Below are 18,260 nucleotides of genomic sequence, written 5' to 3' on the forward strand. Positions count from 1 at the left end.
TCTATCATTTATAGATAAAGGAACCAAGTTATATAAAGGACTAAAAAAGGGATTTGGAAAAATGATTTGGTTAACAGCTGAATTATAGCCTTCTGCTGGTCTGCGAAATGATGCTTATACCCTGGTACAGAGAGCCATATTGAGGAAGACGCAAGAAGAAAAGGAAGAGGCTATATTCATACTGTTTCTTTAAGTTGCAAAATATGGCATTAGAGGGAAAAAAAGAGCGTACAATAAAAAGAAATTTGATACTATTTAAAATGTAGTGAGAATCACATTTATGTATTTTATTTCTGGATACAGTTGAAAATACAAACACCATAGAAGACTTATTCAATAATAGTGTATTACCTTAATTATAAAGAAATGTAATGGGTTCTTTGGTTAATGTAAACTTTTCCAAATGCTTAAATGGGTTACATTTTCATCTTACAGAATCCTGGTGAAATATTCATAATTTTGAGAGATGAAGTAATTGGTGATACTGTAGAGGTTGAATTTACATCAAGTAATAAGCGCATTAGAACACGGCCAGCCCTTTGGAATAAGAAAGTCTGGTGCATGAAAGCTTTAGGTAAGAATGTTTATGATTTAATAAGCATAAAACATTATCCTGAGTTCCTTCCAATAAATTTATAATAAATGGTTTCACTTCCTTACAAAAACTAATATTGTTCTGCAGGTGTTTCCTGTGTTTAGTTTTCACATACCCAAGGTTGTTATTATTAATCTGGATTTGCAAAAGTAAGAACATGTAAATTATGAGAAATTAGTTTGTATACTGTGTAATGAAATGACATCCAGTAACATCATACATTTTTAAATATGTCAGCAGAGAGCATTTTAATTTATGGCAACCACTAAACATATGACTAAAATTGTTTGCTTTTTTGTGACATTTGGATTAGCAATTTATTTTGAGTTTTATTAATAAACTCTATTTTTTTCCCTTTCTTTCTTTTTTCCCCCAAGTCTCTGGTATATTTTTGTTACTCTGAAAAGCATTTTTTCCCATTATTTTATCAGTATGGTGCAATTTGTACATATAATCTTCTCATCTTTTCCTCATCTCACTTACAAAGCTAATCATTTGATTATCCAGCTTTGCTTATAGCATGATAAATTGTATCAGATTTAAAATTCCAGATGGAATAACCATAATTGCAACAATAATTGTATTAAAATCAAAATCTAATATTAATCTAATACTAATTTCTGGATATTTTAATATAAATGTAAAACTGCTTGGTTTTTACATTTATGATGTCTTTTCCTGATCAGAGAATAAAATCATCTTATTAAACCTCATAAATGTGAACTTTATAAAATATTTTGAAATAAAAAGATGCTCAATCTTGTTATGAATTTGGAAATGTGGCAAAAATATTTTAAATTAAAGATCATGTCAAACACATTTTGAACATTTTTTCCTTTTAAAATATAGTGATTATGCAGTCTATTTACAAAGCATTTACAGACTTCTGTTTGTGTGGAAGGCATGTGTATGGATTTCCTTGCACAGCTTAGACTGAAGTTGGATTATAAGAAGGAAAAACTCCATACTAAACATTTATAAACATTTCAGACACTGCTTTCTGTCATGGATAAGCATGTGTAGAAGTGAAATGAGAAAAACTCTGTCTCTTTCCTTTTCTTTCTTTCTTGTCTCAATGCCCCCTACTTCATTATGTCACATTCTTAAGTGGTTTAATGAATAAAATTTTCTAACTAATTAGTTTCAGAATTTAAATTTAGTTAGACTAAAGACACTATAGAAATATCAATATTGCAAATTAAGAAGCACTTAAATAATATTTCCCAAATAGCAGATCAAGATGTCAAATATAATTATTCACATTACTTAAGAATTTTTGCTCAGTATACCTACTGGGTGAGAGCAGTATAAAGAATAAAACATGTCAAAGTTCAAATTAATTATAAGAAAAGCAGAAAATGAATATGCCATGCTTCCAAGATATACCAAGACATACTATTGTCTTCATGATTAAACAACAAATCTGTAATAAATAAATAAACCACTGTTTACCAACTATCATAATTAAACTTATTTAAGTATTCGTTTCAACTGTTGTATTCTTTAAATTGATGAGAAATTTTCTCCCAAAATGTTGGCTGCTTTGTAGCAATATTCAAGATGGTTACCTGAACCTGTTTGGTTGGATGGAAACTGCCTTGGCAGAAATGGGCCCAGAGCCTTATTTTCTCTGCTTCATGTCACTGTATTTTGAAATGTTTTGAACCCTACTAAGAACAACTAGTAAGAACTACATTTTACATCATGACCCAGTACATATGCACAGATATATAAGGAAAACAAAGGTTTTACAAGTAATATTTAGATGAATGGTTTTAGCTCGAACAGTAAAGAGCCCATTTTTACAAGAAAAAGCTGAACCACTACAAAATCGACCACGTTTCTTGAACCCATTAGAGAACTAAAGTTGCAAGGTGTTAGATGCAGGTGTGATACCTTTCCTCACCATCATAAGGGTCACAGTTGTCACTCCTGTAATAAAAGAGAGATTAACAAGAGAAAAGCCTAACAAATTTATTTAATCAAAGATTTATGGGAGCCTTCAGAAATGAAGACCCAAGGACCAATGGGAAACTGTCCATTTTTATGCTTAGGTTCAACGAAGAATAAACAGCCGTGTAGGACAGTGATTGAACAAAAGAATATGAACTAGTGGTAACAGGCTTGAGGGGAGGAGGACCCAGTAAGTCCTGTCTGTCCAGATTTTTGCTGGCTTCTCTATGTCACATTCTTTCCTCCCAGGTATGGAGCAGGCTTTCTCTGAAATGAGGATCTTTAAGGCAGAAGAGAGAAGGGAGACCTTTTTTGGTTTTGTGGTTTTCTTTGGGAAAGAGGAGCTCTAGTTTCTATGACCTGCCTTGGGGAAGAGGAATTCTGGCTTCTATGACTTGATCAGGGGCAGGAAGAAGGGTTGGAGACAGGAGGATGGAAGGTCAGAAAGACCTTGCTTCTGAGGCCCTTTAGTCTTCATTAGTTCAAAGTATGCAGCACACCAACACGTCATACTTTGGGGTATTGTCTTCTGAACTCTGACAAGGACAATCCACTATTCCAAAAGCTGGAGAAAACGATGAACTAAGAGAGTGTCATTTGAAATCTGCTTACCTAGAGCAGAAGCCACTGGAGCCACAAACTAGTAGGAGCACTTAAGTGTTAATTTTGATGAATGTCTGAAAGCTGAATATGGATTAGTTTGAGAGTGAGAAACTCCTGGGGGTAGTAGTTTTAGGATGTCCCCACACTTTTGTAGGATTTACCTCCATGAATCCCACCAGGTTTTTACAATGAAGATCTGAGAAAGAGCCCATGGAACCTCTGGTGGGGTCAGAGGAAGGATAATCGTGGTGAAATACTCCCAGCATGTTCTCCATAGCACAGGCCTACTCTCCAGAAGAAAACACCTCACCAGAGCCTCATTCCAGCTGGGAAAGGACATCATCTCACTGTGGCTCCCTCTGGCCTTCCTGTCTCACTTAAAGGGGATTAGGGGAAGGTATGCCACAGCAAAAACCCTTGTAAAGTCACAACGAAGAGTCACTGAAAGACTAAGACTTAATCATAAGAATGTAGAATGCTTTCCTTCCCTACCACCTTATGGTTACCACAACAGGATTCCAGCATAATGACAGTGGATTACTGTTTAAAAAAGCAAACAACCAACCAAAAAAACCCAGCAAGATTCAGACTCTGTCTCGGTAAAGTACTTAGAAAAGTACATAATCAAAAAGAGAGACAGAAACAAGAATGCTAGAGGAATTTAAAGCTGCTAGCACTGATAGCTACAACAAACATTAAATACAGTCCAACTCCTAAACGGATTCCTATAAATTCTTTCACTACAGGAGTATTTACCTTACATCTAGTCATAAACCAAACATTGCAAGGCATTCCTAAAGACAAGATAAAACACAATTTAAAGAGACAAAGCATGCATCAGACTAGAATTAGATATGACATACATGGAAAATGTATGAAAGAACATATTGATTATATAAAAAGAGATAAACTTTGAGAAAGAATCAACAGGAAATTCTAGAAATCAAAACCACCGTATCAAAAATTAAAAAATAACTTTAATAGGTTTACTAGTAGAGTTGACAAAGGTCAGAAAAGAATCATTGAATTTGAAGACAGGTCAATGAAAACTTCCCAAACTTAAATGGTAAAGAGAAAAAAGTTTTTTTGTCTGTTTGTTTTTTAAAGAAAGGACAAAACATCTAAGAAATGTGGGATGATTTCAGAAGGTCTAACATACATGTAATTGGAATACAAGAAGAATGACAAAATGAAGCACAATAAATATTCGCATATTAATGACAGATCAAAATACAGATATAGGAAGCTCAAGTAACATGAAGAAAGATAAATATAAAATATTGACACCTATTCATATTACATTCGAACTGTAGAAAACTGAAAACAAAAGAGAAAATCTTGTCAGAAGCCAGAGAAAACGAATACCTTACCTGTAGAGAAATGAGTATAGGAATACCATTTGACCCAGCCATCCCATTACTGGGTATATACCCAAAGGACTATAAATCATGCTGCTATAAAGACACATGCACACGTATGTTTATTGCAGCACTATTCACAATAGCAAAGACTTGGAACCAACCCAAATGTCCAACAATGATAGACTGGATTAAGAAAATGTGGCACATATACACCATGGAATACTATGCAGCCATAAAAAATGATGAGTTCATATCCTTTGTAGGGACATGGATGAAATTGGAAACCATCATTCTCAGTAAACTATCGCAAGAACAAAAAACCAAACGCCGCATATTCTCACTCATAGGTGGGAATTGAACAATGAGATCACATGGACACAGGAAGGGGAATATCACACTCTGGGGACTGTGGTGGGGTCGGGGGAGGGGGGAGGGATAGCATTGGGAGATATACCTAATGCTAGATGACACATTAGTGGGTGCAGTGCACCAGCATGGCACATGTATACATATGTAACTAACCTGCACAATGTGCACATGTACCCTAAAACTTAGAGTATAATAAAAAAAATTTAAAAAAAAAAAAAAAAAAAAGAATTACGTTGAATTTCTCTTCAGAAACCACACAAGCAAGAAAATAGTGGAGTAAAATATTTTAAGTATTGTGAAAAAAAGGAACCCACCAATCTAAAATTCTATATTCAGTGAAATTATCCTTAATATAGAATGAAGTAGAAATAAGGATTTTTTCAAACAGAAAAATGAAGGAGTTCATTACCAGCAGACCTGCCCTGCAAGAAATTTTAAAAGAAGTTCTTTGGGAAAGAAGGGAAATAATGTAGGTCAGAAACTTAGATCTACGTAAAGAAAGAGCATAGAGAATAAATGAATGAAGGTAAAAACACAATATTTCATTTTCCTTATTTTTAATTGATCTAAAAGATAAATGTGTGTCTGAAGTAAACACTGTCAATGTGTTGGGTGATTACAGCATATGGATAAGTGAAAGTAATGACAGCAATATCATAAGGGACAGGAGGGACTTAGGTTTGTTAAAAATGTATATTTCAAACTCTAGGACAATTACTAAAAATTTTTTAAAAGCTATAAATGTGCCATGCACATGTACCCTAAAACTTAAAGTATAATTAAAAAAAATAAATATAAATAAATAAATAAATAAATAAAAGCTATAAATGGTAGGCTAAGAAGAGAGAAAATAGAATCCTATAAAATTCTCAAGTAATTTTGACAGAGAGCAGAAAAGGTTGGGGTAGAGAGCGGGAACAAAGAAAAATGTAGGGAATAATAAAAATTACAAGTATGAGAGATATAACCCAACCACGTTAGTGAAGCCAAGTAAGAACTACTTAAGTTTAGTGAATAGTCTAAGAACGCCAATTAAAAGACAGAGATTGCCAGAATGGATAACAAGCAAGACCCAATAATATGTTGTCTATAAAAAACTCAATTTAAATATTAAGACACGGGTAAATCAAAAGTGAAAAGTGAAAGGGTTGGAGCAAGGTAGGTTGGAGGTTGGTGCAAAAGTAATTGCGGTTTTGCAAATGGCATTGAAAGTAATGTAATGAAATTGAAATACAAGAAGAATGAGAAAATGAAGCACAAGAAATATTCAAATATTAATGACAGAGATCAAAACACAGATACACCAACCTAATACCATGCTAACACTAATCAAAGTAGAGCTGGAAAGTTGTACTAATTTCAGAGAAAGAAGATTTTAGAAAAAGAAAAATTATCATGAATGAACAGAAGCATTATATAATGATAAAGATATATTCTCCAAGAAAACAGAAAACTCTTAAACAGGTATGCACTTAACAACAGAGTGTCACAATATGTAAAGCAAAAGCTGCTGGAATTGAAAAGAGCAATAGACAAGTCCACTATTGTATAAGATTTGTGATATACTTGCTTGGTTTGGAGATCTTGACCTGTATTTGTGTGTACTTACAGGGTTAGGTGTTGCCTGACTACTTTCATCTAGATGGTAAACAGCAACATTTAATTTTACTCTCTTCTATTTGAGTCCTTACATTAATTGGATTTTATTTTTACTGAGAGGCTGTAAAATACAGTCATCATAGTGAACCAAAATTAAAGTTAAATAATGTGGAAGCAGAACAGAGTACTGCTCATGTGAAGGTCAGTTCAATAATATATTACTGAGGGGGCCTTCCAACCAGATGAATCTATAAGACATTCTCTCTGACATACAGTTGAGAGCAGTAATTAAGTATTGATTTAATAACTGCCATTTAACAAATATGAGAATGTATACAGAAAACACAATCCTTTAAAAGGCATCTCATTGGAGGATTACTCTAAAATCGACATCATTATCGGTAGATCCACCAGTAAAATTTTGAGTTAACTAAGGATTCAATATATAAGAAATAAATCAGTTCAGTTTCATGTTAGATTAAAAATATATAGAATATTTATCTACTCTGTATCAAAAAACTACCAAGCAAATCTCACCATATACCTCTCCTGATTCATTACCGATTTTCTTTCAAAAAGTTAACTCCCCATGGTAAAACTCCTAATCTCTTTTGTGATAAACAAAATTAATATCTTATTTCAAAATAATTTTTATGACTTATCATAACATTTAAATTTAAATTTATCTTTATAAAATCTACTGAAATTGATTTCATTTGACTCCAATAACTCCAGAACTTCCATTACCATATGCGTACTGCTGTAGCTGATGAGATGTGCTTTAAAACTTTCATTTTTGTTTGTTGTAATTTCTCTTACATTCTCTATTGGATGGATACTTCTTTGGGAAGAGAGAGCTCCTATTTTTCTACATGCATCTTCTTTGTAATACAGGCGAGGTGTCTACTCAAGAAATATGAGGAAGAAATTTCAGCTCCTTGACCTAGTTAAGCTTAAGATTGCTTTCGTTGCATTTAAGTTTCCCTCAGCAATATTATAAGAAGTCCTTTAACAGCTTCATGAGATAAAGTGAAATTAATACTTAATCCTTAAAAACTTTTAAATATTCAAAGCTCTTATATTTAATGACCTATTCCTAACCCTAGATATTTGAGTGACAGTTTTCTGGGAGAATTTGGGAAATATCTCAATGACAGATTAAAAGCACTTAAAATTTGTTCCACAGATGAATTTAAAGAATTACATTTTGTTTAGTATTCTTACACTAAAACACAATAACTTTTTTATTGAAATGATTGTTTATTGATATTCTTTCATAGAAAGTCCTAAATTCTTATATAACTTTAATTCTGCTCATATATTACAGCACAATTCACAATGTAGTGTATCATTCATTTTGAACAACTTGTTCTCAAAAAGGCTTTGGATGAATGTATGATGTAAACAGTACTTCAGTATCAGGGGATTAAACCTTGCCTTTCCCAGGATTTTTCATTGCAGTCAATTGAATACAAATTGTATCATTTAAATCAGCTGTACTCTTTCAAATTACTATTTTTGAGACACTTGCCTGTAATTAATTAAATTGTTTTCATAAGATAAATAATAAATACCTAACTTTTGATAAATGGCTATACTTTTCCAAATTCTAAAGAATTATGTAAAGATTATAGATTATTACAAAGAAAAGTTATACTAGTAAGTAAGTAGGGACAAATAATTTAGTGCTTTACTTTTATTGTTATTTTAACATGTTTTTATATTTTAAGTTTATTTTTAAGCAAATAAGTCTAAAATTGTACATTTCATTTTGTGTTTTCCAACTACCAAGAATTTTAAAAATGATTTTAAGTGCTAGAGATGAGTAAAAGTGTTATGAATTTTTAAAGGCTTCTTTTATATTCTCTAAAAGATGTAATAGTATGAATATGCATTATATACTCTGCCCCTAACCCTTGTTTGTTTTTCATAAGAGTTTCCTGCTGGTTCAGTCCATGTCAATGTCTACTGTGATGGAATCGTTAAAGCTACAACCAAAATTAAGTACTACCCAACAGCAAAGGCAAAGGAATGCCTATTCAGAATGGCAGATTCAGGAGAGAGTTTGTGCCAGGTAAGTTAATCTTTCCACGAAGTTAATCATAATGTAAGCTGAAGAGCTAATGAAGGATAAGAGGATTCATGCTTTGGTATAAGTTTGAATGTGGATTGAATAACAGTGAATTACTACCAATCAATAGGAAGGGAAGAGGCAACCTCTGTTGTGCCAAAATGCAGACAAATTACTTTGCCTAGGTCAAAAAAAAACAGATAATGTCAATGGAAAACAGCTTATTCATTACAAGGTAGCCATTGTGATGGGCTCATTTTAAAGCTGTTACAAGCAGATAAAGGGAGAGCAATTAGAAAGAACTCCTAAGAAATGAATTCCTTCTTTATTCAGATCTGCATAACACAAAGTAAAATGAAAGTCTAATCATCTGTCTCATGCTTTGAGATTAAGGAGTTAGACAAACCAAAATATCACCAAAAAGGGAACGTGTGGTGTCAATCTAGAAATTGTTACTTTCATGTGGACACATCTAAGCTCAGTGTATGTTTTTCTTAGTTTCATTTATCATTGTTATCTGATTGTGAAAATTATTTTTTCTTTGTGATGTTTATTGGGAATATGTGCTTATTCCATCAAATTTTCAGAGTGAAATGCCATTTCTATTTATAACAATTTGATAACTAGAATTGTAACTTTGCTTATTTGTCTCAGTTTTTTGCGTGGGTGAGAGGTAGAAGAGGGTAGAGAAAGGAAGTCGAAGTATCTTCAAATTTACCATAAAATTTACCATAAAAACCTATCTTCAAATTTACCATAAAAACCTGTAAGGTTTTTAACAAAACTGTCAATGATAATGTAGCTGACAAGTTTTCATGAAGCTTTATGTGTTTAAACTAGTTTAGAATTGGAGGATTTGTTATTTCATGTGACACATTTTTCTATTAGGGTTTTATTTTTATATTATATGAACGACATATTTTAGAACAACAGAAAAGGTAAACATTAAGACAGGTAGTGAAATAACATTTGTCAAAATGGAGAGTCTGAGGACATTTGACAAAATGTCTATATTGTAATTCCAAAGCAAGTAGAAAAGTAATAGCTTAAAAAACAGACTGTTTCATTTTCTTGTGACAAGTCCACCTTATCCTCTACTTAAAAATTATATTCATAACAAAAAAGATTAATAAAGGTAATATATTGCATTGTGACTATCCAGTCAGTGTAGAAGTAAAGTAGTCTCCAAACATATTTTCTGTTGGTCTTTCTGTTGTGGGTGGGGATCTTTGAATATAGTAAAAATTAAATGTAATTTATGACTCCTGGACAATTGGTCAGGATGCTATAAATACACAAGTCATGATTTCTTTTACAGCTTGAAGTGAAAACAAAAAGTGAGTTTGCTAGTTTTTAGATAAGTAGAAAAATGCTGTTTCATTTTTACCCTCTGTACTGGAAATGAGGGGAAAGAAAGGGTCATTGCTTTTCTCAAGGATTTTTCTCTACCACCAAGCTCTGGCGGCCTGTAGAAGGGAGAATGTTGGGCAGGCACAGGATGATTCAGGTTTTACCATCAGGAGAGAGCCATTTTAAGTCAGAGGTCTGAGTAATGATGGACAGAATTACTCTAACCCAGTGGCAGCAAACCATGGCATGGCAAGGAGAGACATTAAGAGATTGTTTAATTTATGTAATTTAAGGCAGGTTTAGAGGTTTTGCAACTGTCATGAGGGCACCTAGAAGTATTGTGGGATTAGAGAAAACAAAATCTGAGACTGGGATCTCAGACCAGATCAAGCTGTACTGTAACAGGGGATAGAAGGAAAGGCTGCACTTGAGTCAGTCTCCCAAACATCTTGGACTAAGTGTGACATGGGGTTTGTCTAAATCTTCTGGCATCTGGACCACACAGGGTATCTGTGAACTCACTGAGAAGTTGAAAAGCACTTTCTACCCCTGAGGAAGCAACTGCAGAGGCATTGCCATGGTGTATTTTAGATTTGTTTGACCTCGAGGGAGTTGTCCTAGCCCACACTGTGTTTCTCCTTCAGGGCATTTGGTTTTCCTTTCTGTATTTGCCTTTGCTCCCACATAGATTATATATATTTAACAAATTTTGTGGTCGGGCATGGTAACTCACGCCTGTGGTCTCAGTACTTTAGGAGTTCGAGGCAGGTGGATCACTTGAGGCCAAGAGTTCAAGACCAGCATGGCTGACAATGGCAAAACCCCATCTCTACTAAAAATACAAAAATTAGCCGAGCATGGTGATGTATGCCTGTAATCCCATCTACTCAGGTGCTTGAGGCAAGAGAATCGCTTGAACCCGGGAGGTAGAGGTTGCAATGAGCTGAAATCACGCCACAGCACTCCAGCCTGGGTGACAGAATAAGTCTCTGTCTCAAAAACTAAAGAAAAAAAAAAAAAGAAAAGTAAAAAGAAAAAAAAACCCAGCATTTTGTGGAAAGCTGTACATTTCTTTTCCAGGTTAGAACATTTCAGTAATTGTTTCTTTCATGGGCTACTCAGCCATTTTTTTTAAGAAATGTGAATATTTTGCCCGTGGTTCACTCTGAACATCTGTATTGAAAACACAATGTAAATTGTAATTTTATTTAGCATAGTTACTGTTTATATGTCAGAATATATGCCAGAAGATTTGAATTTTTAAAATAACCTACTTACTTAGCTGAAATGTTATATTGTAAGAACTTTCCTGAGTTTTCTAGTAAATTTTAATGGCAGATGTGATTTCAGTAATCCTAAAAATTAGTAGTAAGATCTTTCTCATGAGCATTTAAAAGCTATTGGGCATGTAATAACATGAACATTGTGTGAATTTGAGGAAAGAATTACTAATGAGAAATCTGCAGGATTTAAGTTTCAGCAATTGTTGAGTTTGTAATAAGAGACCTTGTATTATCATTTTAAAAAAACTGCGCATATAGCAAAATGAGCGTTCTGTGAATTTGAGAAAAGAAGTAATAATGAGAAATCTGGCTTTCTAATTTAATTTTTAATGATGTCTATTAGGTTTTAGAACACTAATCTGAATGGTTTAATTATCTATCTGCTTTTTTAATCATTTCATCTTTGTTAGATAAACACTGAATCCCAGAACATAGCCTCATAAAGGTGAAATTTCCAGAACATCACTTAAAACAGTGAATATAAGAGAGATTCAAATGAAAGAAATCCAAAGCCCAGTTTGGGATGATAATTAGAATTGAAGTGCTAGTGTTAGAAATACTGGTAACTCCTATTGAACTAAGGTAATTAAAATCTTTGAGACTTTCATCCTATTTACAAAAATGTCTTGGGGAAATAATAAAGTTAACTTTGTAACTAGATAACAATATAAAAGGGAAATAACATCGAAAGGCTAAAAGAACACAGTAATTATTAATTTAAGTAGTAGGATCCTTTTCAGTAAAAGATTTTTGAAATGACACCAAATAATTCTTCTTAGTTATATTGCTTATTAGTAAAAAGGTATCTTTGTTTTGCACGTATTTATCCTTTTGCATATTTTACTTTACACATATTGAAATATTATTTTCATTTTCATGTCAGGTACACTTCTGTTTTTATTCAATTGCATGTATTATTCAATCTTTGATTTGCTGCCTGCAAATATTTGATACAATGTAAAGCCAAATGGGTTTTGAATTAGGAAAGGTACGGACTTAGGGAACTCTCATCGTGAAGAACTTCTCCCTGTGCTTCTGTTAATAGTTCCCTGAAAGGTTAATTTCTTCATTGAATTAAAGCTTAGATGTTAGCAGTTGTCTCCCTTAATGAATTCTTCAGGAGATTCTTCCCATCGAGAGATACTGGGAAGTCTCCTGCCTTTCAGAAATGCTTTTAGGTCCCTATCTTTCTCAAAAGCTTAATGGAAACCTTCTTTTCTCTTCACCAGCTCCTATTGATAAGAGGTACAAATGCGTCTAGTCTCTAAGCTTTACCATACATCAGTGTTATCTAAGATACTTCCTTGCTACAAACTTTCAGTGGCTTACTGGATAAGAAGGTTCAAACTTCTTTGAATGTCACACAGACTGCAGGTTCCCAAGTGTTTTCCAGAATCAACTCCTTTCACAGGCGCATCTTTTCCATGTCTTCTTAACTCTATGATTGCTATGTTCTAGCCACTCTTTTAGAGCATATTATGCTCTTTTCTTCAGGCCTCTCCCTTCTTTAATGCATGAACACTGTGTTTTTCATGTTTGCATGCCCAGTATCTTTCACACAACTAGTTCCTGATACAAGGGGGCAACTAATATTTGTTGCTTAAAAAGTGGGGAAAACACAAACAGTTGCTTTTTACAGTGCTAATTGAGTAGATAAGTGAAAACTTATAGAACAGGAATTTAAATAAAGATAGAAAGTGAGAGGAAGGGGTGGAGCAAATTGGCAGAATAGAAGGCTCTACCAATTGTCCCCCTGCAAGGATTTATCAACTGTCTATATAAGAAAACCACCTTCATAAGAACAAAAAATCAGGTGAGCACTTAAAGAATCTGGTTTAACGTTATATCACTGAAAGAGGCACTGAAGAGGTAGGAAAAAATCTTGAGTCAACAATGCCAACCTTCACTGATCCTCTGGGAGCAGGTGTGGTGCAGAGACTGTTTCTGTGTGTTGGGGAGAGGGAGAGCACAGCAATTATGAGGCATTGAACCCTGAGCTGCCCTATTATAACAGAAAATAAAACAGGACCAAACTCAGCTGACATTCACTGTATTAATCCATTCTCACACTGCTATAAAGAACTACCTGATACTGGGTAATTTATAAAGAAAAGAGGTTTAATTGACTCACAGTTCTTGTGGCGGGAGAGGCCTCAGGAAACTTACAATCATGGTGGAAGATGAAGGGGAAGCAAGGTACATTTTACATGTTGGCAGGAGGTGGTTGGGGGGACTGCCACACATTTTTAAACCATCAGATCTCATTAGAACTCACTCACTATCATGGGAACAGCATGTAGGAGAAACCACCCCCATGATCCAATCACCTCCCACCAGGGTCCCCCCCTAGATACATGGGGATTACAATTCAAGATGAGATTTGGGTGGGGACACAGAGCTAAACCATATAACCCACTTGTGGAGAGAGCATGTAAACCAGCCCTAGCCAGAGAATTATTGATTCCAGCACTCTGAAGTTGAGTTCCTGCAAGCCTTTCCACTACTGGCTAAAGTGGTCTGTGGCACAAAATAAACTTGAAAGGCAATCTAGGCCAAAAGGATTGCAACTCCTAGGCAACTCCTAGTGCTCAACTGTGCCCAGTGACAGTGGACTTGGGGGCACACAACCCAGTGAAACACAAGCTGGAGTGGCTAAAGGAGTGACGGTATCACCCCTCTCCTAACCCCAGACTCAAAAGCTCATGGCTCCAAAAGAGACCCCTTCCCTCTGCTTTAGGAAAGGAATGGAAGAGTGGGGAGGACTTTGTGTGGCATATAGGATACCAGCTCAGCCGCAACAGGATAGGACACTGGTCAGAATAGGGAACCCACTGCCTTGAAGGAAAGGATCCAGTCCTGGCAGCATTCATCACCTGCTAACTGAAGAGCCCTTGGCCCTGAATAAACAGCAGTGATATCCAGGTACTACATCAAGGGCCTTGGGTGAGACTTGCTGGCTTCAGGTGAGACTCATCACATTCCCAGCTGTAGTGGCTAAGAGGGAAGACTTTCTATGCTTGAGAAAAGTGAGGGAAAAGTAAAGGGAACCTTGTCTATCCCCAGGTCCAGGTGGCACAGAACAGAGGGAGGCTTTGTTTGGGCCAAAGTAAGGGAAGAGAATAAGAGTCTCTGCCTGGTAATCCAGAGAATTCTTCCAGTTCTTGTCCAAGACCATCAAGGCAGTACCTCTATGAGTCTGGAAGAACTACAATGTTACTAGGCTTAGGATGCCCCCTAAAACAGATACGGCTTAGATCACAACACACAAGTCTTTAAAATCTGGAAACCCTTCCCAAGAAGGATGGATACAAACAAGCCCAGATTGAGAAGGCTTCAATAAATACCTAACTCTTCAATGCCCAGACATAGGCAAACATCTATAAATATCAAGACCCTCTAGGAAAATATGACCTCACCAAATGAACTAAATAAGGCACCAGGGACTAATCATGAAGAAACATAGATATGTGACCTTTCAAAGAACTCAAAATAGCTGTTTTGAGGAAACGCAAAGAAATTCAAGGAACACAGAGAGGGAGTTAAGAATTCTGTCAGAGAAATTTAATAAATAGATTCAAATAATGAAAAAGAGTAAGGAGAAATTCTGGAGCTGAAAAATGAAGTTGGCATAATGAAGAATGCCTCAGAGTCTTTTAATAGCAGAATTGGTCATGCAGAAGAAAGAACTAGTGAGCTTGAAGACAGGCTATTTGAAGATATGCAGTCAGAGGAGAAAAAGAAAAAAAAAAAGAAACCATCAGGCACACTTATGGGATCTGGAAAATAGTCCCAAATGGGCAAATCTAGGGGTTAGTGGCCTTAAGGAGGAGGTAAAGAAAGATACAGGGGTAGAAAGTTTATTCAAAGGGGTAATAACAGATAATTTCCCAACCTAGAGAAAGATATCAATGTCCAAACATGAGAAAGTTATAGAACAGCAAGCAGATTTAACCCAAAGAAGACTACCTCAAGGCATTTAATTCACAAACTCCCTAAGGTTAAAGATGAGTCCTTCAATCAGAAAGAAAAGGATGTCTGTGAGCAATAAGAAAGCATCTGAAGGTACAAAACTTACTAGTAATAGTAAGTACACAGAGAAACACAGAGAACTGTAACACTGTAAGTGTGGTGTGTAAACTACTCTTATTTCAATTAGAAAGAGTAAGCGATGAACCAATCAAAAATAGTAACTACAACAACTTTTTAAGACATAGTCTAATAAGATATAAATAGAAACAACAAAAAGTTTAAAAGCAGGGGATGAACTTAAGGTGTAGATCCTGTATTAGTTTTATTTTTGCTCGTATGTTTGTTAGTATTAAATTATTATCGGCTTAAAATAATGGGGTATAAAATAATATTTGCTTTGGGAGGCAGAGGTTGGCAGATCACTATAGGTCAGGAGTTTGAGTCCAGCCTGGCCATCATGGTGAAACTCCATCTCTACTAAAAATACAAAAATTAGCCAGGCATGGTGGCGGGTGCCTGTAATCCCAGCTACTTGGGAGGCTGAGGCAGGAGACTTGCTTGAACCCAGGAGGCAGAGGTTGCAGTGAGCCAAGATTGCGCCACTGCACTCCAGCCTGGGTGACCAAGCAAGACTCTGTCTCTAAATAAATAAATAAAATAGTACTTTCAATCCTCTTGGTTACTTCAAACCAAAATAAATACAATGGGCACACAAAACAAATACAAAACAAGAAACTAAATTATATCACAGAGGAAATTACTTTCACTAAAAGGAAGAGAGACAAAAAGAAAGAAGGACAAAAAGGCCACAAAACAACCAAAAAAACAAATATCAAAATAGCAGGATTAAGTCCTTACTTATCAGTAAAAACCTTAAATGTAAATGGACTAAACTCTTCAATCAAAAGACAGAATGGCTGAATGGATTAAAAACAAAAAAAAAGACCTAGTGATCTGTTGACTACAAGAAATGCACTCTATAAAGACACACATAGACTGAAAATGAAAGGATGAAAAAAGATATCCCATGCCAATGGAAACCAAAAAAGAGCAGGGGTAGTTACACTGATAACAGAGAAAATAGATTTCAAGACAAAAACTATGAAAAGCGACAGAAAAGTTCACTGTATAATGATAAAGGATTCAATTCGGTAACAGTATATGACAATTTTAAATATATATTTACCCAACACTGGAGCAACCAGATATAAAATCAAATATTACTAGACCTAAGGAGAGAAATAGTCCTCAATATAATAATAGCTTGAGACTCCAACACCTCAATTTCAGCATCGGACAGATATTCCACACAGAAAATGAACAAAGAAGCATTGGACTTAATCTGCACTATACCAAATGGACTTAATAAATATTTACAGAATGTTTCATTCAAGAGCTGTAGAATACACATTCTTTTCCTCAGCACATGACCATTCTCAAAAATAGACCATATGTTAGGTCACAAAACAAGTTTTAGAGCAGTCAAAAATTTGAGATAGTATCAAACATTTTCTCTGACCACAATGGAGTAAAATTAGAAATCAATAACAAGAGGAAATTTGAAAACTTACAAATACATGGAAATTAAACAATATGCTTTTGAATGGCCAGTGGATCAATAAGGACATTAAGAAGGAAACTGAAAAATGTATTGAAACAAATGATATGGCAGTACAACATACCAAAATCTATGAGATACAGCAAAAGCAGTACTAAGAGGGAAGTTTATATCTATAAGTGCCTATGTCAAAAAAAAAGAAAAGAAAAATGTTAAATAAACAATGTACCGATACATCTTAAAGAACTAGAAAAGCAAGAACAAACCAAACCCAAAATTAGTAGAAGAAAAGAAGTAATAAAGATCAGAGCAGAAATAAATGAAAATTGAAATGAAGAAAACAATATAAAAGATCAATGAAAAAGTTTTCTTTTGAGAAGTTAAGCAAAATTGACAAACCTTTAGCAAAACTAGCTAATGGTAAAGAGAGAAGATACTAATAAATAAAATCAGAGGTGAAAAATGAGACATTACAACCAATACCTAGAAATCCAAAGGATCGTTAGTGGCTACTGTGAGCAACTATATACCAACAAAGTGGAAAATCTAGAAGAAATGCACAAAGTCCTAGATACACACAAACTACCAAGATTGAACCATGAAGAAAACCAAAACCTTAACAGACCAATAACAAGTAACTAAATTGAAGCCTAAAAAGTCTCAGTAAAGAAAAGCTTGTGACTCAGTGGCTTCACAGCTGAATTATAGCAAATACTTAAAGAAGGTTGAATACTAATCCTAATCAAACTATTCTGAAAAATAGAGGGGGAAGGAACACTTCCAAACTAATTCTACGAGCCCTGTATTACCCTAATCCAGACAAACACACATCAAAAAAAAGAAAACTACAGGCCAATATCTTTGATGAATATTGATGCAAAAATCCTCAACAAAATACTAGCAAACTGAATTCAGCAATACATTAGAAAGATCATTCATCATGACTAAATGGGATTTATTCTTGGGATGTAAGGATGTTTCAAAATATGCAAATAAACCAATGTGATATATCGTATCAACAGAATGAAGGACAAAAACCATATGATCATTTCAATTGATGCTGAAAAAGTATTTGGTAAAATTCAACATCCTTTCATGGTAAAGACCCTCCAAAAACTGGGGATAGGAGGAACATACCTTGACATAGAAAAGCCATGTATGACAAACCTACAGCTACTATCATACTGAATGGGTAAAAACTCAAATACTTTTCTCTAAGATCTGGAAGATGACAAAGATGCCCACTTTCACCATTGTTATTCAACATAGTACTGAAAGTCCTAGCTAGAGCAATAAGAGAAAAGAAATAAATAAAGGCATCCAAACTGGAAAGGAAGAAGTCAAATTATCCTTGTTTGCGGATGAAATAATCTTATATTTGGAAAAAAACTAAAGACTTCACCAAAAACTATTAGAACTGATAAACAAATTCAGTAAAGTTGCAGGATATAAAATCAGCATACAAAAAACAATGATATTTCTGTATGCCAACAGTGAACAATCTGAACAAGAAATAAAAAAAAGTCCCATTTACTGTAGCCACAAATAA

The 18,260-nt window shown here is 34.6% G+C and overlaps 1 protein-coding gene across 3 annotated transcripts in view, besides 1 other annotated feature; it reads left to right on the top strand.

Annotated features, from left to right (window-relative positions):
• The window catches only part of BANK1 (B cell scaffold protein with ankyrin repeats 1), a 284,083-nt gene that overhangs the window by 71,361 nt on the left and 194,462 nt on the right, over positions 1-18,260 (top strand). For all 3 annotated transcript variants that reach the window (NM_017935.5, NM_001127507.3, NM_001083907.3), the window contains 2 exons: positions 436-574; positions 8,415-8,554. In NM_017935.5, the coding sequence (NP_060405.5) occupies positions 436-574; positions 8,415-8,554 (279 nt within the window). The remainder of the gene's footprint in view (positions 1-435; positions 575-8,414; positions 8,555-18,260) is intronic.
• Positions 12,429-12,629: a silencer, noted in NCBI's record as "peak5084 fragment used in MPRA reporter construct". NCBI's record gives its function as "represses an SCP1 promoter by STARR-seq MPRAs in K562 erythroleukemia cells {active_cell/tissue: K562}" and the evidence as "EXISTENCE:reporter gene assay evidence [ECO:0000049][PMID:32103011]".

This window comes from Homo sapiens, chromosome 4, assembly GCF_000001405.40.
Source record: "Homo sapiens chromosome 4, GRCh38.p14 Primary Assembly".
NCBI classification, from domain to species: Eukaryota; Metazoa; Chordata; class Mammalia; order Primates; family Hominidae; genus Homo; species Homo sapiens.